We start from the raw sequence: 27,223 nt of genomic DNA, 5'->3' as shown, positions 1-27,223 counted from the left end.
GGGAAGCCATTTTTTACTTTATCTCACAGGGGTACTAGGGGAGGGCTGCCGGTGGACTTGGGGAAGGATGAAAGGGAGAAGGAAACTTTCAGCTGAACTTTGTAATAATTTTGCCCAAGAGTAAATTTTCCTGGGCAGAATCTGGGGTTAGGTAGCAGGGGGGTGAATAGGAAGTACAGAAAAGAGCACAGAAGCCATGGCAGGGTGGAAGGGGTGAGTCCTGAAAGCCCTGCTTGCTTTCTCAGTGAGAAGGCATGTAGACTGGAGCAAGATCTCAGCCAGATACCTGGATATAAACTCAGTGCTGTTGATGAAGCATGGAGGGAGTGAGACTGACCTTGCTGGTGGCATGGGAGCTGGGTAAGACCTGTCATTGCTGGTGTTACCCCCACTTCCCTGGTGACCTGTATGATGCAGCAGAGGTGGACATAATCCCCCTGGGAACATAACCCCATTGGCCTGAGAACCACACCTCCATCTCTCACAGCAGCTGCAAGAAGCCGCACCCATGAAGAGTCTGAGCTCAGACACATCTAACCCTGCTCCTAGTGGACTTTCTCTACCCACCCTGGTAGCCAATGACAAAAGACATAATCTCTTGGGAGTTCTATGGCTCTTCCCATAGCCTGAGAAACCAAAATGCCTATCCAAGTGACCCTATGGCAAGCTTGTATCCGCGCTATACTACTGCAGCTGATGCTGTCTTGAAAGCACCACCTCCTGGCTGGAGGCTAACCAACTCAAGCCATTACAGCAATTCATAAAAGAATGACCCTGCTCCAAGAAAGGAGAAAACAACAGCTAATTCTACCACCTGTAATATCCTGACTAACCGGAGGTCTTGAGTCTGTCCATGTGACAACTTCACTGCCTGCACAACTAGCGTTTGAGAAAACCAGCATACTAAACAAAGCTAAAACCAAGGACCTTCACAGAGTCCAAATCACTCCCCTGCTACCTCCACTGCAGAAGGAGGCTGTATCCACAGCTGAGAGACCTGAAGACAAATCACATCACAGGACACTTTGTAGACACTCCCCAGTACCAGCCCAGGGCCTGATGGCTCCACGGGGTGGCTAGACTCAGAAAAGCAATAAAAATCACTGCAGTCTAGCTCTCAGGAAGCCCCATCTCTAGGGGAAGGAGGAGAGCACCACATCAAGGGATCACCCTTTGGGACAAAAGAATCTGGACAGCAGCCCCTGAATCCTAGATCTTTCCTCTGACATAGTGTGCTCAAATGAGAAGAAACCAGAAAAACAATTCTGGTAATATAACAAAGCAAGATTCTTTAACACCCCTAAAAGATCACACTAGATAACCAGCAATAGATCCAAACTGAAAAGAAATCTCTGATTTGCCAGAAAAAAAAGAATTCAGAAGGTTGATTATTGAGCTACTTAAGGAGGCACCAGAGAAAGGTGAAAACCAAGTTAAAGGAATTTTAAAAATAATACAGGATATAGATGAAAAAAATCTCCAGAGAAATAGATACCATAAATTAAAAATAATCACAACTTCTGGAAATGAAAGACACACTAAGAGACATGCAAAATACACTGGAAAGTTTCAACAATAGAATCAAACAAATAAAAGAAAGAACTTCAGAGCTTGAAAACAAGGCTTTAGAATCAACCCAATCCAATGAAGACAAAGAAAAAAAGAATTTAAAAAATGAGTAAAGCCTCCAATAGTTGTGATTATATTAAATGACCAAACCTAAGAATAATTTGTGTTCCTGAAGTAAAAGAGAAATCTAAAAGTTTGGAAAACTTATTTGAGAAAATAATCAAGGAAAACTTCCCTGGCCTTGCTAGAGACCTAGACATCCAAATACAAGAAGCACAAAGAACACCTGGGAAATTCATTGCAAAAAGAACACTGCCTAGGCACATAGTCATCAGGTTATCTAAAGTCAACATGAAGAATCTTAAGAGATGTGAAGCAAAAGAGTCAGGTAACCTATAAAGGAAAATCTATCAGATTAACAGCAGTATTCTCAGCAGAAACCCTGCAAGCTAGAAGTAACTGGGTCCTGTCTTTAGCCCCCTTAAACAAAACAATTATCAGCTGAGAATTCTGTATCTAGATTCCTTAAACAAGACAATTATCAGCCAAAAATTTTGTATCTAGCAAAACTACACTTCATACATGGAGAGATAAAGTCCTTTTCAGACAAACAAATGCTGAGAGAATTCTCCACTACCAAGCCAGCACTACAAGAACTTCTAAAAGGAGTTCTAAATCTTGAAACAAAACCTCTAAATACACCAGAATAGAACCTCCTTAAAGCATAAATCTCACAGGGCCTATAAAACAATAACACGATGAAGAAAATAACGAAGTCTTCCCACAACAGCTAGCAGGATGAATACAATAGTACCTCACATCTCAATACTAACATTGAATGTAAATGAGCTAAATGCTCTACTTACAAGATACAGAGTGGCAGATTGGATAAGAATTCACCAACCAAGTATCTGCTGTCTTCAAGAGACTCACTTAACACATAAGGACCCACATAAACTGAAGGTTAAAAGGCAGAAAAAGATATTCCATGCAAATGGACACCGAAAATGAGTAGGAGTAGCTATTCTTATATCAGATAAAACAAACTTTAAGGCAACAACAGTTAAAAAAGACAAAGAGGGACATTATATAGTGAATGATAAAAGGACTAGTCCAACAGGAAAACATCACAATCCTAAATATATATTGTAACACTGGAGCTCCCAAATTTATAAAACAATTAATATTAGATATAAGAAATGAGATAGATAGCAACACAATAATAGTGGGGGAATTCAATACCCCATTGACAGCACTAGACAATCATCAGGACAGAAAGTCAACAAAGAAACAATGGACTTAAACGATACCCTAGAAAAGAATGGATGTTAACAGACATTTACAGAACATTCTACTTAACAACTGCAGAACATACATTATATTCATCAGCACATGGAACATTCTCCAAGATAGATCATATGATAGGCCACAAAACAAGTCTCAATAAGTTTAAGAAAATCAAAATTATCTTGAGTATTCTCTCAGACAGCAGTGCAATAATATTGTAAATCAATTCCAAATGGAATCCTCAAAATTATGTAAATATATAAAATTAAATAATCCACTCCTGAAAGATTGTTGGTCGATAATGAAATCAAGATGGAAATTTAAAAAAATCTTTGAACTGAATGACAATAGTAATATAACCTATCAAAAACTCTGGGATACAGCAAAAGCAGTGCTAAGAGAAAAGTTCATAGCATTAATCGCTTATGTCAAAAAGTCTGAAACAGCACAAATAGACAATTAAGGTCACATCTCAAGGAACTAGAGAAACAGGAACAAACCCAACAGAAGAAAGGAAATAACAATGATCAGAGAAGGACTAAATGAAATGCAAACAAAAAATACAAAAGATAAACGAAGCAAAATGCTGATTCTTTAAAAAGATAGATAAAATTGGTAAGCCATTAGTGAGGTTAACCAAGAAAAGAAGACAGAAGATTCAAATAAGCTCAATTAGAAATGAAATAAAAGATATTACAACCAATACCACAGAAATACAAAAGATCATTCAAGGATACTATGAACCCCTTTATATGCACAAACTAAAAAACCTAGAGGAGATGGATAAATTCCTGAAAATACACAACCCTCCTAGATTAAATCAGTAAGAAATAGAAACTCTGAATAGACCAATAACAAGCAGTGAGTTTGAAGTGGTAATAAAATAATTTCCAACCAAAAAATGTCCAAGACCAGATGGATTCACAGCTGAATTATATTAGACATTCAAAGAAGAATTGGTACCAATCTTGTTGAAAGTATTAGATAAGATTCCATAAGATAGAGAAAGAGGGAATTTTAACCAAATTATTTTATGAAGCCAGTACCACCCTAACACCAAAACCAGGAAAGGACATAACAAAAAAAGGAAACTACAGACCAATATCCCTGATGAATACAGATGCAAAAATCCTCAACAAAATCCTAGCTAACTGAGTCCGACAACATATACAAAAGATAAGCCACCACGATCAAGTGGGTTTCATGCTATGAATGCAAGGATAGTTTAACATATGCAAGTCAATAAATGTGATACACCACATAAACAGAATTTAAAATAAAAATCACATAATTATCTCAATAAATGCAGAAAAAGCATTTGACAAAATCCAGCATCACTTTATGGTTAAAACCATCAATAAAATCTACCTAGAAGGGGTATAGTTTAAGGTAATAATAGCTATCTGTGAAAAACCCACAGCCAACATTATACTGAAGGGGAAAATTTGAAAGAATTCCCACTGAGAACTGAAACAAGACAAGGATGCCCAACGTCACCACTTCTTTTCAACATAGTACTGGAAGCAATAACCAGACCAATAAGACGAGAAAAAAAGAAAGGTCGTTCAAATCAGTCAATAACAAGACAAACTGTTGCTGTTTACCCATGATATGAGTGTATGCCTAGAAAACTCCAAATACTCATCAAAAAAGCTCCTAGATCTCGTAGATGAATTCAGTAAAGTTTTAGGACACAAAATCAATCTACACAGATCAGTAGCACTGCTACACACCAACAGTGAGCAAGCTAAGAATCAAATCAAGAACCTGACCACTTTTACAATAGTGGCAAAAATGAAATAAAATAAGTAAAAAAATAAAATACTTGGGAATATCCTTAACAGGAATATCCTCAAAATGTGAATGACTTTTACAAGGAAAACTACAAAACACTGCTGAAGTAAATCATAGATGACACAAGCAAATGGAAACACATTTCATGCTCATGGATGAGTAGAATCAATATTGTAAAAATGCCAAAAGCAATCTACAAATTTAACTCAATTTTCTCCAAATTGCCATCATCATTCTTCACAGAACTAGAAAAAACAATCCTAAAATTCATATAGAACCAAAAAAGAGCCTGCATAGCCAACGCAAGACTAAGCAAAAAGGACAAATTTCAAGGCATCACATTACCTGACTTCAAACTATACTATAAAGCTATAGACACCAAAATAGCATGGTACTGGTATAAAAATAGGCACATAGACCAATGGAACAGACTAGAGAACCCAGAAATAAACCCAAATACTTACAGGCAAGTGATCTTCAACAAAGCAAACAAAAACACAAACGGACACCCTATTCAACAAATGGTACAGGGATAATTGGCTAGCCACATGGAGAAGAATAAAACTGGATCCTCACCTCTCTCCTTATACTGAAATCAACTCAATATGGATCAAAAACTTAAATCTAGGACCTGATACCACAAAAATTCTGGAAGATAACATCAGAAAAATTCCTCTAGACATTGGCTTAGGCAGAGATTTCATGACCAAGAACCCAAAAGCAAATGCAACAAAAATAAAGATAAATAGATGGGACTTAATTAAACTAAAAAGCTTCTGCCCCACAAAATAAATAATTAGCAGAGTAAACAGACAACCCACAAAGTGGGAGAAAATCTTCACAAACTATGCATTCAACAAAGGACTAATATCCAGAATCAATAAGGAACTCAAACAAATCAGCAAGAAAAAAACAAATAATCCCATCAAAAAGTGGACTAAGGACATGAATAGGCAATTCTCAAAAGAAGATATATAAATGACCAACAAACACATTAAAAATGCTCAGCATCACTAATGATCAGGGAAATGCAAATCAAAACCACAATGTGATACCACCTTACTTCCACAAGAATGGCCATAATAAAAAAATCATAAAATAATAGATGTTGGTGTGGATGTGGTGAAAAGGGAACACTTTTACACCGTTGGTGGGAATGTAAAGTAGTACAACCATTATGGAAAACATTGTGGAGATTCCTTAAGGAACTAAAAGTAGATCTACCATTTGATCCTGAAATTCCACTACTGAGTATCTACCCAGAGGAAAATAAGTCATCATATGAAAAAGACATTTGCACACATGTTTATAGCAGCATAATTTGCAATGGCAAATATATGAAACTGGCCCAAATGCCCATCAACCAATGTACGGATAAAGAAAATGTGATATATATATATATATGTATATATACACATACACACCATGGAATGCTATTCACCCATAAAAAGGAATGAAGTAATGGCATTTACAGGAAACTGGGTGGAGCTGGAGACCATTATTCTAAATTAAGTAACTCCAGAATGGAAAACTGAACATTGTATGTTCTCACTTATAAGTGGGAGCTAAGCTATGGGATGCAAAGGCATAAGAATGATACAATGGACTTTGAGGACTCAGAGGGAAGGGTGGGAGGGGAGTGAGGGATAAAAGACTATACATTGGGTACAGTGTACACTGCTTGGGTGATGGATGCACTGGAATTTTAGAAATCACCACTAAAGAATGTATCCATGTAACCAAACACCACTTGTTCCCCAAAAACCTATTGAAATAAAAAAAAAAGATCAGAGCAGAAATAAGTAAATTTGAAATTATGAAAACAATACAAAAGATCAATGAAACAAAAAGGTGGGTTATTTTTAGAGATAAATACAATGAACATATCTTTAGTCAGACTATGAGAAAAGGAGAAAAGACACAAATAAATAAATCAGATTTGAATAAGTATACACTATAATCCATACCACAGAATTTTAAAGGATCGTTAGTGTCTACTATGAGCAACTATATGCCAATAAATTGGAACATCTAGAATAAATACATAAATTCTTAGACACACACAACCTACCAAGATTAAACTATGAAGAAAGCCAACACTTGAACAGACCAATAACAAGTAATGAGAAAGAAGCTGCAATAAAAATTATTCCAGCAACAAAAAGCTCAAGACATGATGGCTTCACAGCTGAATTCTACCAAACATTTAAAGAAGAACTAATAGCAGTCCTACTCAAACTATTCCAAAACATAGAGGAGGAATCACTTCATATCTTACTCTATGAGGCAAGTTTTAGCCTAATAACAAAAGCAAACAAAGATACATCAGAGATAGGAAACTAAAGGCCAATATTCCTGATGAATATTGATGCAAAAATCCTCAAGAAAATACTAAAAAAACCAAGTCAACAACAGAATAAAAAGATCATTAATTGTGTTTAAGTGGAATTTATCCCTGGTATTCAAGAAAGATTTGACATATGCAAATCAATCAATGTGATACACATTATATCAACAGAATGAAGCACAAAAACTGTACAATCATTTCAATTGCTGCTGACAAAGCATCTGATAAAATTCAACAGCCATTTACTATCTAAACCCCATAAACTGGGTTTAAAAAAACATACCTCATCATAAGAAAAGTCATCTACAAGAGACCCACAGCTAGTATTGTACTGAATGGGAAAAAAACTGAAAGCTTTTCCTTTACGATCTAAAATACAACAAGAAAGCCATCTTTCACCACTGTTATTCAATGTAGTACTGAAAGTCCTAGCTGGAGTAATCAGAAAGATGAAATAAATAAAGTCCATTCAAATTGGAAAGGAAAAAGTCAAATCATCCTTTTTTACTGATGCTATGACCTTCTGTTTGTACAAAACTAAATACCCCACCAAAACACTATTGAAATTGATTAACAAATTCAGTAAATTTGCAGGATAGAACATCAATCCACAAAATCAATAGCATTTCTATGTACCAACAGCAAACAATCTGAAAAATAAATCAAGAAAGGAATCCCATTTACAATAGCTGCAAATAAAATACTTAGAAATTAACTAAAGAAGTTAAAGATATCTACAATAAAAACTACAAAACCTATGCATGAAATTGAAGAGGACACAAAAATTGAAAAATATTCCCTGTTCATGGATTGCAAGAATAAATATTGTTAAAATGACCATATTACCCAAGGCAACCTATAGTTTTAATGCAATGTCTATCAAGGTATCTATGGTATTCTTCACAGAAACAGAAAAAAAAATTCTTAAAATGTATACGGAACCACAAAAAGCAGAATAGCCAAAGCTATCCTGAACAAAAAGAGTAAAACTGGAGAAATCACATTATCTAACTTCAAATTACACTGCAGAGCTATAGTGATCAAAACAGCATGGTACTAGCATAAAAACAAACACATAGATGAATGGAACAGATTAGAGAAACCTGAAATAAATCCATCCATCTATAGGATACTCATTCTCAACAAAGACACCAAGAACATATATTGGGGAAAGGATAGTCTCTTCAATAAATTGTGCTGGGATAACTGGATATTATAGCAGAATAAAAGTTGACTCCTATCTCACCTTGTACAAAAACCAAATCAAAATGGGTTAAATACTTACATCTAGGACCTCACACCTCACCCTATGAAACTATTAAAAGAAAACATCGGGTAATCTCTCCAGAACATTGAATGGGGCTGGAATTTCTTGAGTAATACTTCACCAGCACAGACAACCAAAGTAAAAGGGAACAAATGGGATGACATCAAGTTAAAAAGCTTCTACACAGCAAAGGAAACAATCAACGAAGTGAAGAGACAACCTACAGAATGACAGAAAATATTTGTAAACTACCCATCTGTCAAAAGATTAATAACTAGAATATATAAAGAGCTCAAACAGCTCTATAGAAAAAATCTAATAATCCAATTTTAAAATGGGCAAAAGTCTGAGTAGACATTTTTCAAAAGAAGACATACAAATGACAGATATATGAAAAGGTGCTCAGCATCACTGATCATCAGAGAAATGCAAATCAAAACAATGGGATATTATCTCACTCCATTAAAATGACCTTTATCAAAAAGAAAAGCAATAACAAATGCTGGCGGGGAGGTGGAGAAAAGGGAACCCTGGTACACTGTTGGAGGGAATGTAAATTAGTACAATCACTATGTAGAACATCTTGGAAGTTCCTCAAAAAAACAAAATTAGAACTGCCATATAATCCAGCAATCTCACTGCTAGATATATACCCAAAAGAAATGAAATCAGTATATCAAAGAGATATCTGCACTCCCACATTCATTGCAGCACTATTCACAATAGCCAAGGTTTGAAAGCAACCTAGATGTTCATTAGCAGATGAACGGATAAAGAAAATGTGGTACATATACAGAATGGAGTACTTTTCAGCCATAAAAAAATGAGACCCTGTCATTTGCAACAACATGGATGGAACTGGAGGTCATCATGTCAAGTGAAATAAACCACGCACAGAAAGACAAATTTCACATGTTCTCACTTATTTGTGGGATCTAAAAATTAAAACAATTTTACTCATGGAGATGCTTGAGGTGGCAGATACCCCATTTACCCTGATGTGAAATGAGAGGTAGCTATAGAAATCCTGAGTAATGATTTCCACATTACATGCCTGTATCCAAATATCTCATGTACTCCACAAATATATGTACCTACTATGTACCCACAAAAGTTAAAAATTAAAAAAGAATGAGATAACAATGAATGCTATAAAATCAATAGAATTAAAAATATAAATTAGATTATTGAAATTATTTTAATATATGACTCTACATAATATATATTTAAAGTATTATAGCACAATATTTCCATTAACAAAAAAATTAAATGTCATATTTATATTATCAGAATAAAAAACTGAATCTACAAAATTCATGCCAATGAAAATAAACAATTTTAACATATAATCTAACTGAAAACTATGAGAAAATTATGGTTCTTAAATACATAAAAATAAATTTTAATGTTGCTAATTAAGCAACTCTTTCTTGAGAGAACTTACTTTAATACAAAACAGACTAAAAAACTTTGCAAGAAAAGCCCATAACATCAAACACATTCTCTGTCTACATAAACCCTGGCACAGAGTGAAGAGAAAGTGATTTCGACAGCCTTTCAGGTACTTCTCGTTACCCCTAGTGGCAAATAAAATTTACCAAATATGTCATGTGCTTCCATATGAAGAGAGAGCCATGAAACTAATTCTAGGCAATGAATCTAGAAGTGAATCGTGCCGCTTCCGGGATAAGAATGGACATGAAGGTGTGCTTTCTGTCTGTACATTTCTCTGACCCATGTGCTCTTCTGAATGGTCTCTCAATGGCTGTGAAGCAGAGCCCCACCATGATGCACATTGGACATGCATCCTCAGAGAACATTAAATGTTGTGCTGACACATTGCAATTCTGAGATTGTTGCCTATCATGAATCAGACTCCCGAAATGAGAAACGTTTGAAGTCTGCATATTCAGGCCTGCACTATTTCACCAGCCTCACCAACAGAAATGCCTGGCCTCTCCTCTCAAAATACAACACCTTCATAGAGAAGCAAGATAATTGAGATTATTACTATTTCCAGAGGTAGGGTTAGGATTAGACATAAGTTTGGGGTTTAGTTTAAGTCTTAGGTTGAGGTTCTCATTAATTAACATGCTCTCAGGGAGCCACAGTCTAAGAGTTGTATATTATCTCTGAGTCTGGAGATAGCTTATGATATTAAAAATATACATAGCTCAGTAGACAAAATAATAAATGTTGGAGTCAGGGAAGTATGAATTCAAATACTTGTCATTTACTGACCCTGTGAGTATGGACTAGTTACTGAGTATCTGCAACTACGCTTTGTCTGGAAAACAGGATATCAAATCTGTTCCCATAGACCAGTTATTTTGATAGAATATAATACATTATGAAAATACTTAGCACAGTATTTGGCATATGATAATAACTGGTAATTATCATAGGCTTACTAAGTGCTCAGTAAGTAAAAGTTATTATTAACTTGCCTTGATTCTTCTCCAGTGATATCATTCTATAACTCATAGTGTATATGTTGTGAAGAATCATTGTTCTAATCCTGTCTTTTTCTATTTTCTTCTCTTTAAAAGTTTGAAAAAATTTGTTCTAATATTCATTTTTATATAATTATTATCTATACTTTTAACCAGATTATAGCATACTTATGATTTAATATTAAATTTTATCAAATATTTGTTTGTTTGTTTGTTTGTTGAGACAGAGTCTAGTTCTGTGGCTAGGCTGGAGTGCAGTGGCGCGATCTCGGCTTACTGCAACCTCTGCCTCCCGGGTTCAAGTGATTCTCCTGCCTCAGCCTCCGGAGTAGCTGGGACTACAAGCATGTGCCACCACGCCCAGCTAATTTTTTTTTTTAATAGAGACGGGGTTTCACCATGTTGGCCAGGATGGTCTCGCTCTCTTGACCTTGTGATCCGCCTGCCTTGGCCTCCCAAAGTGCTGGGATTACAGGCATGAGCCACTGCGCCCAGCCTATCAAATATTTTTATAAAAATTAATAATTTAGGTGTTGAGCTTCATACCTATGTCTAGTCCGTAGTATGATTCAAAAAATGTAGTTTTATAATTTTGTAACAAATCTTTCAATGTTTTCATTGGCGTGCAACTTTAATACATTGACTAGATAAATTGACCTAAATTCTCTTTCATCCTTCATCCTGAACTCAAAATCTCAAGCAAGCTAAGCAATAATACCCCGGACTTCAAGGATGAATGTTGGGGCAAGCAGGAATGATGGTGGAGAAATGAGAGGTAGCTGTAGAAATCCCGAGTAATGAATTTAGTCTCTAATTGTTTGTCCTTTTTTCCTAAGACATTTCTCTCACTGCTTTCAATTGAGCTTACTCTTAAGTCTCGCTCCCCCTCAGAGACCTGGTTTACAACAAACTGGACCTGTTCAACTCATTTTTGTCTTCCTCGCATGCTATTTCCATTTTTGACTTAAATTTTCAGTGAAACGTGCTCTCTTTTTTCCTACAAAGCTAGTTAAATTCCTGCATTATTCTAAATGGTCTTATTTCTCTTCCACAGAACATTTCTCATATTTCAAATGGGGTCTTTGAAAGGGAAGGGTCACAGAAATCCTATTTTCTTCTTTTTCTTCCTTTTTTTTTTTTGTTAACTATAAAAGCACGTGGATTCTAGATGCCAGGGCATCCTCTCCTGAAAATATGTTCTATATTGGAGAAACTTAACATCATACAATTTTGTCAACAGAAACTCGCACCACCCTGGGCTGTGTTGGGTGATTGTAGTGAAATACAGTTCTGACACATTTGCAATCACTTGTGCATTGTCTGGCCCAAGCAGCCTGCACTCCATTGGCCCCTCTGTCTCACAGTGCTCACCTGCTGGCTGTCATTTTATGAAGGGCCTTGATTGCAAGTGGCCTTAGCTTCAGGGTACTCTGGAGCTATATATTTTTCTGTTTTTAGCTATTTTTTTAATCTGCCAGTTGCTTTTGAGTCCTGAAAAAGAAAAAAATACCAATACATACATATATATATAAATGTATGCATATATATGTCCACATTATATTGAAATATGATACATTAATATAATCACTGACAAAAGTTTTACTCTTTTTTTCCAGTTTTATAAAATCAAGGCTTTATTTTGTTTGACTCACTTAAACCTGAGTTATTTCACTTCTCTTTTAATACCTTTAGAAGTCACAAAGCTTCCCAAATTTCCCTTAACATTTTTTCAAGACTTTTATGTAGAAAACCTACTCAACTCTGTAGCATTGCAACTAGGTCAGATAGAAATTCCCTGGAGGAAGTAGGGAATGTATCTATCATTTTCATATGCTTATTACTAGGAGCTCATCTGAAATCTTATTAGGGTTGAGTACAGGGATTTATTTATTTCCCTTCCCTTTGGCTAATGACTTATTTACATATTGACCTGTTCCATGGGATTTTGGAGGGAATAAAAAAACAATAAATAGGCATTTGTCTCGAAAATGAAATAGTATTCAAAATTATATTTTTATGAAAATCCTTCTTTTGTTGCATTAGCAATTTGAAATGATCATTGTGTCATGAAATAATCACTAAATGACATATGGTCCTTAATCAGCATTGTTCACTGCTGGCAGGATCATAGAGTCATTGGACTTGCAAATTCAGGTTTTAACTTATGGTGGCTTAGTGTATTGTATGAAAATCGGAGATTGGGTATTTTAAGCCAAAAATATTCAACTCTGATTTTACATACGTGGATACTACTGGCCTGCATAGCAAAATGAAGTTTATTATCTGCTTTTATTCCATTATTGTGAGGTTTGCTTAGGATATTTGTGTGAGATTTTATATTAAATGAAAGATACATGCTGCACCTTTTTTTAAAAAAAAGCAAATTGTGTATATTTAAAGATAATTCTCCTAATGATGTAGCTAACCTTATTACAGTGTTGATCCTAAACAACATTCCTCATATGATTTATGGAAATGTATCTCTCTTCAGCAAATATCAGCTCACAAAACTGATCTGCATAAGGACTAAGATTATCATAAATAGAAACACTATTTTTGATTGAAGACGTTATCTCCACAAAATCAAAAATTTTAATCTGGTACAGTAAGAATTAGAAGAAATTAAAATATTATCCTTCCCTAATTACATGGTGCCAAATACAGCATTGTTAATTTTTTAATGACAAGTATATTACCGATATCAATAGCTTTTACTAATAGATATTATTGAGATAGAATATATAATGAAGATTATTTTAATAAAATAGCATTGCATATATATTTATTATGGGTGAACAGAAACTGCTAAGGCATAGATTTCTCTCTATTTACAGCAGAAAGTAAGTTCCAAGATAAAAACCAACTGGCTCTTTTTTAGCATTATATCATGTATCACTGAATTTTTATATATATATAAATACTTCAGGTTATTAATCCACTTTGATGTTACTAAACCTTTGAGGAGAAATAGGAACAAGTACAATATTGCTTCTTTTACAGATAGAGCAAACAAGATGATAATGCATAATATCACAAAATTGCCCAAATAAAGTTCTTGTCAAGAAATTTTTTCAGATATACTGGGTATTCTGAATATATGCTTGCTTTCATTTGTTTATCTTATCTAAATTTTAGTTATAACAATCTGAGATTGTTACTTTCTATTTGTTTAGGAAAATAAACTGTCTTATGGAGGTTAAGTGACTTTCAGAAATTCCAACAACTTGTCAACAAAAGAGTTAACATTATGATACTGTTCTTCTGTCTTCTATTCTAAGGTGTATTCCATGTCTATTGCAAATTGAAAAGAATAAAATTAATTCATAATAAGAATATATCAGCTATTTCTATGATAAACAAAGCCTATATTTCCATTGTCTTCTCTAAGAAAAATATTTCTGTGCAGTGAGACAAATTTTGTCTTTTCTGGCTACCTGATTTCCTGGATTACTTTGTTGGAATGGATCCTAAGAACACAGTTCATTGCCATGATTCAGAGTAAGTATTTGGACATAGATGCTGCTCCCTGGATTTGTTTCAGGGCTACAGTTTGGCAGTCTCAGCCCTACCTTTGATTGATAACAAATCAAGATGGCTACTATAGTAAGCTTTACTCCTAAACTTAGGGAAGACAAAGAAAAAATAAATCTGTGAACTCATAGCTTTATGTTATCATTTATATTTATTTCTAACTAATAAATACCATACTTCAAAAAGATCGATCTTATCTCCAGCAGCACTTGTGCACACAAATCATGGAGTACTGGTTATGTGCTCCTTACAAAGCCTTTCTTTTACCAGTGTCTTTTATCTTTTTAGTTAGGATCTGAGCTTTTTGATACCAATGATATATTTTATGCCCTTTGCCATTCATAGTGCACTAAGTCAAAGCCTTTACATAGTAGATTCTGGAATTTTTTAAATTTCCTTTTTGATTATTTAATTTATTGTGTTTGACTCCACTTAATATTTGAAAATGTTACAACTTTAGAAACATTGTTATTTTCTTTTTAATTTTGTATATCCAGATAAAATTATTTAAATAATATCCTCTATTTTCCTGATAATTATCTGCATCTCATTTAATTTAAATACTTTTTTATTCCTAATTTTCTTAATGTTAATAATAAATCCTCAATTTAACATTCTTTTTCTTTACTAGTACTTTAGTCACGTAACAGTTCATCAAATTCTGTTAGAAATGAATTCTGTTCATTTATAAAAATTTTTATATGTGTCTTCAGAAATCAAATTTTAATTAAACAAATCACTACGTTCTTTAAAAAAATGCATCTTAGTGCATATTTTTATATATTGTAATTATACATTTTCAAACCAGTATTCATATTTTCTTTTATTAAATGGATTCATATTTATTTATAAACCATTTCTTACAACTGTATTTTGGCATGTCTTTGGAGAAATTACATCTTTTAGAATATATTGTCACAGAAGGGCCTCTCAGGGTTTCTCTTCCTCCTTCTATTTTACAAAATAAAGTGATATTTGATTTAATGTAGCAAAATGTCCAGTGATACTTTTTGAGTCTCCACAAATAATGTCATGAAGATATTCTATTTTTGTCCACAGAAGTCTTTTACTTTTAGCTTTTATGTTAGGTCTATTATTCATATTCTATTAATTTTCAAATGTGATATGGAAGTCAAGGGTTCATATATATATGAATGTGTATATGTGTGTTTGTGTGTGTGTATATATATATAGTTGTTTAAACACTATTTGTTGTAAATAATTTTTGTTTCCCAATTGACTTCTTTGGCTACTGGGTCAAAATCATTTGAGGCTTTTATCTGGAATTTTTAAAAACTTTTTCTTCTATGCCATACCATTCATGGTCCTTTGTTTCACCAATATCACAATATCCTGATGATTATATATTTTATTGATAATGAATCTTGAAGCGAATTAGAGTAAGTTCTCTAAATCTGTTCTTTTTCTCAGAATTACTTTGTTGTTTTTCTATATAAATTTTTAAACAGTGAGTTAATTTATTTGTAAATTTTTGCTAGGATATTGAGATTGCATTAAATCTATATATCAATTTGGGGAAAATTAAAATATTCATAAATGAAGTGCTTTAATCCATACACATGCTATATATCTTTATTTCATTACTCATTTCCCACCCAGCAGGAAGCTCTGGGCACACAACCACCCTCAAGTGCCAGATGTTTCTTGCCTGGTCCTTGCTATGAGACTCAATGTTAGGCAGATCAAGATATGGGAGATGCAGACGGGGCTCCTGCTTTTGAATCTTTCCAGCCACCAAGATGTTGTAGCAGATCTGAGCTTTACACCCAGTGGCGGTTTGATTTTAGTCTCTGTGTCATGGGGTAAGACTCTTCGCATCTGGAACCTGAAGAACCATGATACGGAGGTGAAGGAACTACTTGGCAATTCCAAAAATACTGTATTTGCTCCTTTCTCCACTTTACCAGTGTCATTTTTACCTTAGAAAAAGGACTTTGTTCACTTCTCTTCTATCCCTAAAATACTCTTAGAGTCTACTCAATGAGCTTTCAGAGAAGAAGTCTTAAATATTTTTCATTAAATTTACCATAAAGTATTTTATGTTTTTAAATGTTAGTGTAAATTGTTCTTTTAAAAATTTTGTTTTCTAATTGGTCATTGCTAATGCATAGAAATTAAGTGATTTTTTGATACTAACTTAGTGTCTTAATTCATTAGTGCTGCTATAACAAAACACCATAAACAGGATACCTTATAAACAAAAGAGATTTGTTTCTCACAGTTCTCGTGGCTGGGCAACCCCATGATCAAGGTGCCAGCAGAGTCAAAGTCTGTTTAAGGCTATTTTCTGCCTCATAGAGGACACCTTCTAGGCGTGTTCTCACGTGGCCGAAGGGACAAGGCAGCTCTCAAGTTGTTCTTTCATGAGGGCACTAATGCCATTCATGAGGGCTCTGCTATCATGCACTAATTAATTCTCAAAGGCCCTACCTCCTCAAACCATCGCACTGTTGATTAGGATTCAACATATGAATAAGAGGGGAATGCAAACACTCAGACCATAGCACTTAGTGACCTGAATTTTTGTGGAATTCACTAATTGCCTCTAGTAGATATTTTTATAGATTTCCTTAATTTTATTTTCCATCATTTAATTGATAGTATTAAAAGATAGAATTAACTTTTGCGTATTAACATGTTCTGCAACACTGGTATATTTATTTTTAGTCCTAATATGTATTATTTGGTAGATTCCTTAGAGTTTTCTACACACAAAAGAGGTCATATGAGAAAGACAGTTTATTTTTGTCTTTGTAAGCTCTATATCTATTTCTTTTCCTTGACTTATTATATATACTAGCCAGTATCTCCTCATATGTTAAATGAAAAAGTGAGAGAAAAATCATTTGCTATGTTTTTAACTTCAGGGGGGAAATGCACTATGTCATATTCAGTATGATACTAGCTACAGAAATTTTTAATAACTTCATTCATTAAAGATATGTCCTTCTGTTTCTAGTTTGATGAGATAATTTTCATCAGTGGATATTAAATTTAGTCATTTTTTAATACTCTGAAAGGATCACATAATATTTTTCTTTTTTCTATTAATGTGTTACACTAAATAATTTTTGTATATTTTTGTATCTTAAACAAATCCTATGTTATTGGGATAAGCCATATTTTCTTTTTTTTAATTAATTAATTTATTTTTTATTATACTTTAAGTTTTAGGGTACATGTGCACATTGTGCAGGTTAGTTACATATGTATACATGTGCCATGCTGGTGCGCTGCACCCACTAACTCGTCATCTAGCATTAGGTATATCTCCCAATGCTATCCCTCCCCCCACCCCACCACAGTCCCCAGAGTGTGATATTCCCCTTCCTGTGTCCATGTGATCTCATTGTTCAATTCGCACCTATGAGTGAGAATATGCGGTGTTTGGTTTTCTGTTCTTGCGATAGTTTACTGAGAATGATGATTTCCAATTTCATCCATGTCCCTACAAAGGACATGAACTCATCATTTTTTATGGCTGCATAGTATTCCATGGTGTCTATGCGCCACATTTTCTTAATCCAGTCTATCATTGTTGGACATTTGGGTTGGTTCCAAGTCTTTGCTATTGTGAATAATGCCGCAATAAACATACGTGTGCATGTGTCTTTATAGCAGCATGATTTATAGTTCTTTGGGTATATACCCAGTAGTGGGATGGCTGGGTCAAATGGTATTTCTAGTTCTAGATCCCTGAGGAATCGCCACACTGACTTCCACAATGGTTGAACTAATTTACAGTCCCACCAACAGTGTAAAAGTGTTCCTATTTCTCCACATCCTCTCCAGCACCTGTTGTTTCCTGACTTTTTAATGATTGCCATTCTAACTGGTGTGAGATGGTATCTCATTGTGGTTTTGATTTGCATTTCTCTGATGGCCAGTGATGGTGAGCATTTTTTCATGTGTTTTTTGGCTGCATAAATGTCTTCTTTTGAGGAGTGTCTGTTCATGTCCTTCGCCCACTTTCTGATGGGGTTGTTTGTTTTTTTCTTGTAAATTTGTTTGAGTTCATTGTAGATTCTGGATATTAGCCCTTTGTCAGATGAGTAGGTTGCGAAAATTTTCTCTCATTTTGTAGGTTGCCTGTTCACTCTGATAGTAGTTTCTTTTGCTGTGCAGAAGCTCTTTAGTTTAATTAGATCCCATTTGTCAATTTTGTCTTTTGTTGCCATTGCTTTTGGTGTTTTAGACATGAAGTCTTTGCCCATGCCTATGTCCTGAATGGTAATGCCTAGATTTTCTTCTAGGGTTTTTATGGTTTTAGGTCTAACGTTTAAGTCTTTAATCCATCTTGAATTAATTTTTGTATAAGGTGTAAGGAAGGGATCCAGTTTCAGCTTTCTACATATGGCTAGCCAGTTTTCCCAGCACCATTTATTAAATAGGGAATCCTTTCCCCATTGCTTGTTTTTCTCAGGTTTGTCAAAGATCAGATAGTTGTAGATATGCGGAATTATTTCTGAGGGCTCTGTTCTGTTCCATTGATCTATATATCTGTTTTGCTGCCAGTACCATGCTGTTTTGGTTACTGTAGCCTTGTAGTATAGTTTGAAGTCAGGTAGTGTGATGCCTCCAGCTTTGTTCTTTTGGCTTAGGATTGACTTGGCGATGCGGGCTCTTTTTTGGTTCCATATGAACTTTAAAGTAGTTTTTTCCAATTCTGTGAAGAAAGTCATTGGTAGCTTGATGGGGATGGCATTCAATCTGTAAATTACCTTGGGCAGTATGGCCATTTTCACGACATTGAGTCTTCCTACCCATGAGCATGGAATGTTCTTCCATTTGTTTGTATCCTCTTTTATTTCCTTGAGCAGTGGTTTGTAGTTCTCCTTGAAGAGGTCCTTCACATCCCTTGTAAGTTGGATTCCTAGGTATTTTATTCTCTTTGAAGCAATTGTGAATGGGAGTTCACTCATGATTTGGCTCTCTGTTTGTCTGTTGTTGGTGTATAAGAATGCTTGTGATTTTGGTACATTGATTTTGTATCCTGAGACTTTTCTAAAGTTGCTTATCAGCTTAAGGAGATTTTGGGCTGAGACAATGGGGTTTTCTAGATATACAATCATGTCATCTGCAAACAGGGACAATTTGACTTCCTCTTTTCCTAATTGAATACCCTTTATTTCCTTCTCCTGCTTAATTGCCCTGGCCAGAACTTCCAACACTATGTTGAACAGGAGTGGTGAGAGGGGGCATCCCTGTCTTGTGCCAGTTTTCAAAGGGAATGCTTCCAGTTTTTGCCCATTCAGTATGATATTGGCTGTGGGTTTGTCATAGATAGCTCTTATTATTTTGAAATACGTCCCATCAATACCTAATTTATTGAGAGTTTTTAGCATGAAGGGTTGTTGAATTTTGTCAAAGGCTTTTTCTGCATCTATTGAGATAATCATGTGGTTTTTGTCTTTGGCTCTGTTTATATGCTGGATTACATTTATTGATTTGCATATATTGAAGCAGCCTTGCATCCCAGGGATGAAGCCCACTTGATCATGGTGGATAAGCTTTTTGATGTGCTGCTGGATTCGGTTTGCCAGTATTTTATTGAGGATTTTTGCATCAATGTTCATCAAGGATATTGGTCTAAAATTCTCTTTTTTGGTTGTGTCTCTGCCCGGCTTTGGTATCAGAATGATGCTGGCCTCATAAAATGAGTTAGGGAGGATTCCCTCTTTTTCTATTGATTGGAATAGTTTCAGAAGGAATGGTAGCAGTTCCTCCTTGTACCTCTGGTAGAATTCGGCTGTGAATCCATCTGGTCCTGGACTCTTTTTGGTTGGTAAGCTATTGGTTACGGCCACAATTTCAGATCCTGTTATTGGTCTATTCAGAGATTCAACTTCTTCCTGGTTTAGTCTTGGGAGAGTGTATGTGTCAAGGAATTTATCTATTTCTTCTAGATTTTCTAGTTTATTTGCATAGAGGTGTTTGTAGTATTCTCTGATGGTAGTTTGAATTTCCGTGGAATCGGTGGTGATATCCCCTTTATCATTTTTTATTGTGTCTATTTGATTCTTCTCTCTTTTTTTCTTTATTAGTCTTGCTAGCGGTCTATCAATTTTGTTGATCCTTTCAAAAAACCAGGTCCTGGATTCATTAATTTTTTGAAGGGTTTTTTGTGTCTCTATTTCCTTCAGTTCTGCTCTGATTTTAGTTATTTCTTGCCTTCTGCTAGCTTTTGAATGTGTTTGCTCTTGCTTTTCTAGTTCTTTTAATTGTGGTGTTAGGGTGTCAATTTTGGATCTTTCCTGCTTTCTCTTGTGGGCATTTAGTGCTATAAATTTCCCTCTACACACTGCTTTGAATGCGTCCCAGATATTCTGGTGAGTTGTGTCTTTGTTCTCGTTGGTTTCAAAGAACATCTTTATTTCTGCCTTCATTTCGTTATGTACCCAGTAGTCATTCAGGAGCAGGTTGTTCAGTTTCCATGTAGTTGAGCGGTTGTGAGTGAGATTCTTAATCCTGAGTTCTAGTTTGATTGCACTGTGGTCTGAGAGATAGTTTGTTATCATTCCTGTTCTTTTACATTTGCTGAGGAGAGCTTTACTTCCAAGTATGTGCTCAATTTTGGAATAGGTGTGGTGTGGTGCTGAAAAAAATGTATATTCTGTTGATTTGGGGTGGAGAGTTCTGTAGATGTCTATTAGGTCCACTTGGTGCAGAGCTGAGTTCAATTCCTGGGTATCCTTGTTGACTTTCTGTCTCGTTGATCTGTCTAATGTTGACAGTGGGGTGTTAAAGTCTCCCATTATTAATGTGTGGGAGTCTAAGTCTCTTTGTAGGTCACTCAGGACTTGCTTTATGAATCTGGGTGCTCCTGTATTGGGTGCATATATATTTAGGATAGTTAGCTCTTCTTGTTGAATTGATCCCTTTACCATTATGTAATGGCCTTCTTTGTCTCTTTGATCTTTGTTGGTTTAAAGGCTGTTTTATCAGAGACTAGGATTGCAACCCCTGCCTTTTTTTGTTTTCCATTTGCTTGGTAGATCTTCCTCCATCCTTTTATTTTGAGCCTATGTGTGTCTCTGCACGTGAGATGGGTTTCCTGAATACAGCACACTGATGGGTCTTGACTCTTTATCCAGTTTGCCAGTCTGTGTCTTTTAATTGGAGCATTTAATCCATTTACATTTAAAGTTAATATTGTTATGTGTGAATATGATCCTGTCATTATGATGTTAGCTGGTTATTTTGCTCGTTAGTTGATGCAGTTTCTTCCTGTTCTTGATGGTCTTTACATTTTGGCATGATTTTGCAGCGGCTGGTACCGTTTGTTCCTTTCCATGCTTAGCGTTTCCTTCAGGAGCTCTTTTAGGGCAGGCCTGGTGGTGACAAAATCTCTCAGCATTTGCTTGTCTGTAAAGTATTTTATTTCTCCTTCACTTATGAAGCTTAATTTGGCTGGATATGAAATTCTGGGTTGAAAATTCTTTTCTTTAAGAATGTTGAATATTGGCCCCCACTCTCTTCTGGCTTGTAGGGTTTCTGCCGAGAGATCCGCTGTTAGTCTGATGGGCTTCCCTTTGAGGGTAACCCGACCTTTCTCTCTGGCTGCCCTTAACATTTTTCCTTCATTTCAACTTTGGTGAATCTGACAATTATGTGTCTTGGAGTTGCTCTTCTCGAGGAGTATCTTTGTGGCGTTCTCTGTATTTCCTAAATCTGAACGTTGGCCTGCCTTGCTAGATTGGGGAAGTTCTCCTGGATAATATCCTGCAGAGTGTTTTCCAACTTGGTTCCATTCTCCCCATCACTTTCAGGTACACCAATCAGACGTAGATTTGGTCTTTTCACATAGTCCCATATTTCTTGGAGGCTTTGCTCATTTCTTTTTATACTTTTTTTCTCTAAGCTTCCCTTCTCGCTTCATTTCATTCATTTCATCTTCCATTGCTGATACCCTTTCTTCCAGTTGATCACATCGGCTCCTCAGGCTTCTGCATTCTTCACGTAGTTCTCGAGCCTTGGTTTTCAGCTCCATCAGCTCCTTTAAGCACTTCTCTGTATTGGTTATTCTAGTTATACATTCTTCTAAATTTTTTTCAAAGTTTTCAACTTCTTTGCCTTTGGTTTGAATGTCCTCCCGTAGCTCAGAGTAATTTGATCGTCTGAAGCCTTCTTCTCTCAGCTCGTCAAAGTCATTCTCCATCCAGCTTTGTTCCGTTGCTGGTGAGGAACTGCGTTCCTTTGGAGGAGGAGAGGCACTCTGCGTTTTAGAGTTTCCAGTTTTTCTGTTCTGTTTTTTCCCCATCTTTGTGGTTTTATCTACTTTTGGTCTTTGATGATGGTGATGTACAGATAGGTTTTTGGTGTGGATGTCCTTTCTGTTTGTTAGTTTTCCTTCTAACAGACAGGACCCTCAGCTGCAGGTCTGTTGGAATACCCTGCCGTGTGAGGTGTCAGTGTGCCCCTGCTGGGGGGTGCCTCCCAGTTAGGCTGCTCGGGGGTCAGGTGTCAGGGAACCACTTGAGGAGGCAGTCTGCCCGTTCTCAGATCTCCAGCTGCGTGCTGGGAGAACCACTGCTCCCTTCAAAGCTGTCAGACAGGGACATTTAAGTCTGCAGAGGTTACTGCTGTCTTTTTGTTTGTCTGTGCCCTGCCCCCAGAGGTGGAGCCTACAGAGGCAGGCAGGCCTCCTTGAGCTGTGGTGGGCTCCACCCAGTTCGAGCTTCCCAGCTGCTTTGTTTACCTAATCAAGCCTGGGCAATGGCGGGCGCCCCTCCCCCAGCCTGGCTGCCGCCTTGCAGTTTGATCTCAGACTGCTGTGCTAGCAATCAGGGAGACTCCGTGGGCGTAGGACCCTCCGAGCCAGGTGCGGTAAACCATATTTTCTTGTAATATGTTTTATATGTAGCATTCAATTTGCTGATATTTTTAAAAGAAATATTTGCCTCTTATTCATGAGAGGTATTTGTCTGCAATACTTCTCTGTTTGAGTATCCTTGTCTGGTTTTGGAATCAAAGACATACTTGCCTAATAAAATAAGTTTTAAATACTTCTTTTTCTTCTGTTTTCTAATATAATTAGTATATTGTCATTTTCTTAAATGCCTAGAATCCACTAGTGAAGCAAAACAGTCCTAGAGTTATCTTTGCAAGAAGATTCCATCATTAAAATTTTATTTTTTTAAATATTAATAATACTGTTGAGATTTTTCTATGTCTTGTGCCAATTACGTCTTTCAAAAAATTCAAAACAATTTTTTTCTACTCCATTCACGTTGTCAAACTTATTCACACCGAATTATTTGTTGCATTTTCTTAGTAATGTAGTACTGAGAAATGACATCCATTATTTCATTTCTTATTTTGGTAATTTGTAGCTTTTCTCTTTCCAGAGGATTACAAATTTTACTAGTCTTTTCAAGTATTGCCTTTTTACTTTGTTGACATTCTTTACTTTTTGTTCATTTTCATTTTTAATGACTTCCACTGTTATCTTTAGTTTCTTTTTTCTAACTTTATAAATTTGAGACATATATTATAAATTCCATGTATTTTTGATTTGTAAACATAGTTACTAAATTACCTTGTAGTATACACTTTAGCTTCATCTCACACATTTTGAAAATTCATGTTGTTACTAATATTCATTTCTAAGTATTTCCTAATACTGATTTCTTTTTTTTTTTTTTTTTGACTCATGGCAATTTAGAGTATGTTGAGTAATTTTCACAAATTTGGTGTTTGTCAAAATTATCTTTCTGTTATTGATTTCTATTTTAATTCCCACATGGTCAGAGAACATACTCTGTTGATTTCTGTTCCTTAAAACTTATGTTAACATATTTTGCTATATTTATGTCTATGTGCTTCAATGTTTATGCTACTATAATTAGTATTTTTTAAGTTTAAATTTTTTTTTTATATTCAGCAATGAAAAAAAGAAAGAATTGAACATTCCATAATGTTTAGATGTTAATTTTTCCCAATTCCATCTATTAATTTAACAGAATCTCAATAAAAATCCCAGCAAGATGAGAGGCTGAGGTGGGCGGATCGTGAGGTCAGGAGTTCCAGATCAGTCTGGCCGACACAATGAAACCCCATCTCTACTAAAAATATAAAAATCAGCTGGGCATGGTGGTGGGTGCCTGTAATCCCAGCTACTCAGGAGGCTGAGGCAGGAGAATCACTTGAACCTGGGAGGCGGAGGTTGCAGTGAGCCGAGATCGCATCACTGCACTCCAGCGTGGGTGACAGAGCTAGACTCTATCTCAAAAATAAATAAATAAATAAAAATCTCAGCAAGCTTTTTGTAGATGTTCTGTTCATAAGATGGTTCAATATTTATGTGGAAAGGTAAAGCTACTAAAATAATCAGAACAATTTTTCAAAAAAAAAATTTGCAAGACTCCTATTACCTGATTTTAAAGCATGTTATTAAGCTTCAGTAATTACAACTGTTTGCTATTAACAAAAAGATAGAAATACCGATCACTGGAACACAATAGAGATTCCAAAAATATACTTACACAAATAGGGTCAAAACACATAAAAACTTACAGCAAAAAGAGTGAAAAAGAAATTCTGCATCTAGAAGAAAACATAGGACAACAATCTACATTACCTAGGGCTTGACTGTGTGTTTTAAAGTACAGCATTAACAGTATAACTCATGAAAGAACATAATGAAAAATTAAACTTTAAATAAAATTTTAAAATATTTTGCTCTGTGAAGGATGCAGTTGCAAGAATGAAAAGACAAGTCATAAACTGGGAGAAAATATTTACAAATAATATATCTGATAAAGAGCTTGTACTTAATTAATAACAAGGCAAAAGATCTAAATAGACTCTTCACTGACAATTCCCAAACCTGGCAAGGACTCAGAGCAGCAGGACCTCTCATTCATCGCTGCTGGGGATACAAAAAGGCACTTTGCAATGTAGTTTGGCAGTATCTTACTAAATATAACTTAGATTTATCATACAAGGTAGCAAGCGTGTTCCTGAATATTTACACAATTGATTTGAAAATATATGTCTAAGAAATACATGCAGATGAATGTTTTTAGCAGTTTTATTCATAATCACCAAAAATTTCAAGCAATGTTGAAATAATATCCTGTAGTTGGATTAATGGATCAATAAACAGTGGTACATCCATATAATGGAATATTACTCAGTAATAAAAATAAATAAGCTATTAACTCATGGAGCTACTTAGATGAACTTTAAGTGGATGTTGCTATACATAAGAAGTCAGGCTGAAAGTCTATGTTGAAGTCCATTCGTATGACATTTTGGAGAAGGGAAAACTGTTGGACTGAAAGACAGATCAGGATATTCAAATGATTGTGGAAGGGAGAGTATTTGACTAGGAGAGGCACTAAGATGTTTCAGTTCAATGGAATTAATCCATATTGTAGTGTAGTGGTGGATATAAAATGCTATGCGTTTGTTGAAACCCATAAAGATGTACCACAAAAAGGCCGGGCGCAGTGGCTCACACCTGTAATCCCAGCACTCTGGGGACCGAGGCGGGCGGATCACGAGATCAGCAGTTTGAGACCAGTGTGGCCAACATGGTGAAACCCCATATCTACTAAAAATACAAAAATTAGCCAGGCATGATGGCAGACCGCTGTAATCCCAGCTACTCCACAGGCTGAGGCAGGAGAATTGCTTGAACCTGGGAGGTGGAGGTTGCAGTGAGCCAAGACCACGCCATTGCACTTCAGCCTGGATGACAGAGCAAGACTCCATCGCAAAACAACAACAACAACAAAAAAAAGATGTACAACAAAATGAGTAAACCTTAATTTATACAAATTAAAGGAATTAACCAGAAGACTGTATTGTATGCAATGAACATAGTGACGAAAAGATTCTAGCTGTATCACAAATTTATGGAAAATCCTCACTGAAAAGGGTGGGCAGAAAACTAGCTGACAAGTAATTTTGGAAAACGGTGCTTTGATTGGAAACTCTAAGACTAGAAACAAAAGGAACTGTACATAAACACTATAGTTGTTTTTCACAGCCACCTGGGTTAACAATTCTGAAAAAGCTGTATATGTAGAGTAGGGTCGAACGAATATGTAAATACATGGTGGATGCTGTGAGGCAGGTTTATTTCTATTGGGAGAGCAGTTTCAGATAGGCAAGGACAGGGGAAACTAGAATGAACCACGTGGTAATGGATTAGAGTTAGGGACAGCTGTGTGAACTTATGTCTAGCGTAATACAGATACAAATATATAAGTAGGTAAATGATTATATATATTTGTGTAAACATGAGTTAGTACACATATATATATTCTCTAGTTCTATCAGTTGAAGACCTAGAAGTAGCAACACTACAGTAAAACTGACACACTCAACTACCAGGTCTTTGTTTCTAAAACTGTTCTCCAATAAAATAAATCAAGATTCCTTGGAGAAATGGCCTAATCCAAAGATGAGCAGGGAATACACAAGATGAGCCTAGAGTACAGCTACTCTCAAAAAGATGAGAAATAACGACTCTTGGTGAGGATGTGGAGAAAGAGAACCCCAGTACACTGCTGATGGGAATGTGAATTGGTACAACTACTACAAAGAACAGTTTGCAGAATCCTCAAAAAATTAAAAATAGAACGATCATTTCTGGGTATATATTCGAAGTAAATAAAATCATTAGCTCAAAGAAATATCTGCACTCTCTTGCTCATTGCAGCATTATTTATAATAGCCAAGGTATGAAAACAACTTGAATGCTATCAACAGATGAATAAATAAAGAAAATGTAGTACATATACACAATGGAATACTAATCAGCCATAAAAAAGAAGAAATACTGTCTTTTGCAACAACATGAATAAATCTGGATGGATTATGCTAAGTGAAAAAGCCAGACACAGAAAGATAAATACTGTGCAATCTCACTGATATGTGGAATTCATAAAAATCCAACTCATGGAAACTGAGAGTAGAATACTGGTTGCTAATGGACAATGGCCT

The 27,223-nt window shown here is 35.5% G+C and overlaps 1 long non-coding RNA gene and 1 pseudogene across 1 annotated transcript in view, besides 2 other annotated features; one reads left to right on the top strand and one right to left on the bottom strand.

Annotated features, from left to right (window-relative positions):
• Positions 22,308-23,619, bottom strand: LOC100420098 (kinesin family member 20B pseudogene; annotated as a pseudogene).
• Positions 22,423-22,922: an enhancer, noted in NCBI's record as "OCT4-NANOG-H3K4me1 hESC enhancer chr14:48264343-48264842 (GRCh37/hg19 assembly coordinates)". NCBI's record gives its function as "activates a minimal SCP1, AML or CMV promoter by ChIP-STARR-seq in naive H9 embryonic stem cells {active_cell/tissue: H9 hESC(naive)}" and the evidence as "EXISTENCE:reporter gene assay evidence [ECO:0000049][PMID:30033119]".
• Positions 22,923-23,424: an enhancer, noted in NCBI's record as "OCT4-NANOG-H3K4me1 hESC enhancer chr14:48263841-48264342 (GRCh37/hg19 assembly coordinates)". NCBI's record gives its function as "activates a minimal SCP1, AML or CMV promoter by ChIP-STARR-seq in naive H9 embryonic stem cells {active_cell/tissue: H9 hESC(naive)}" and the evidence as "EXISTENCE:reporter gene assay evidence [ECO:0000049][PMID:30033119]".
• LINC00648 (long intergenic non-protein coding RNA 648) overlaps positions 23,048-27,223 on the top strand; it is a 30,062-nt gene continuing 25,886 nt past the window's right edge. Inside the window, exon 1 of the long non-coding RNA NR_039996.1 lies at positions 23,048-23,090. This is a non-coding gene — a long non-coding RNA (long intergenic non-protein coding RNA 648). The remainder of the gene's footprint in view (positions 23,091-27,223) is intronic.

Source organism: Homo sapiens, chromosome 14, assembly GCF_000001405.40.
Source record: "Homo sapiens chromosome 14, GRCh38.p14 Primary Assembly".
Classification (NCBI taxonomy): Eukaryota; Metazoa; Chordata; class Mammalia; order Primates; family Hominidae; genus Homo; species Homo sapiens.
This window is presented reverse-complemented; position numbering and strand designations above follow the sequence as displayed.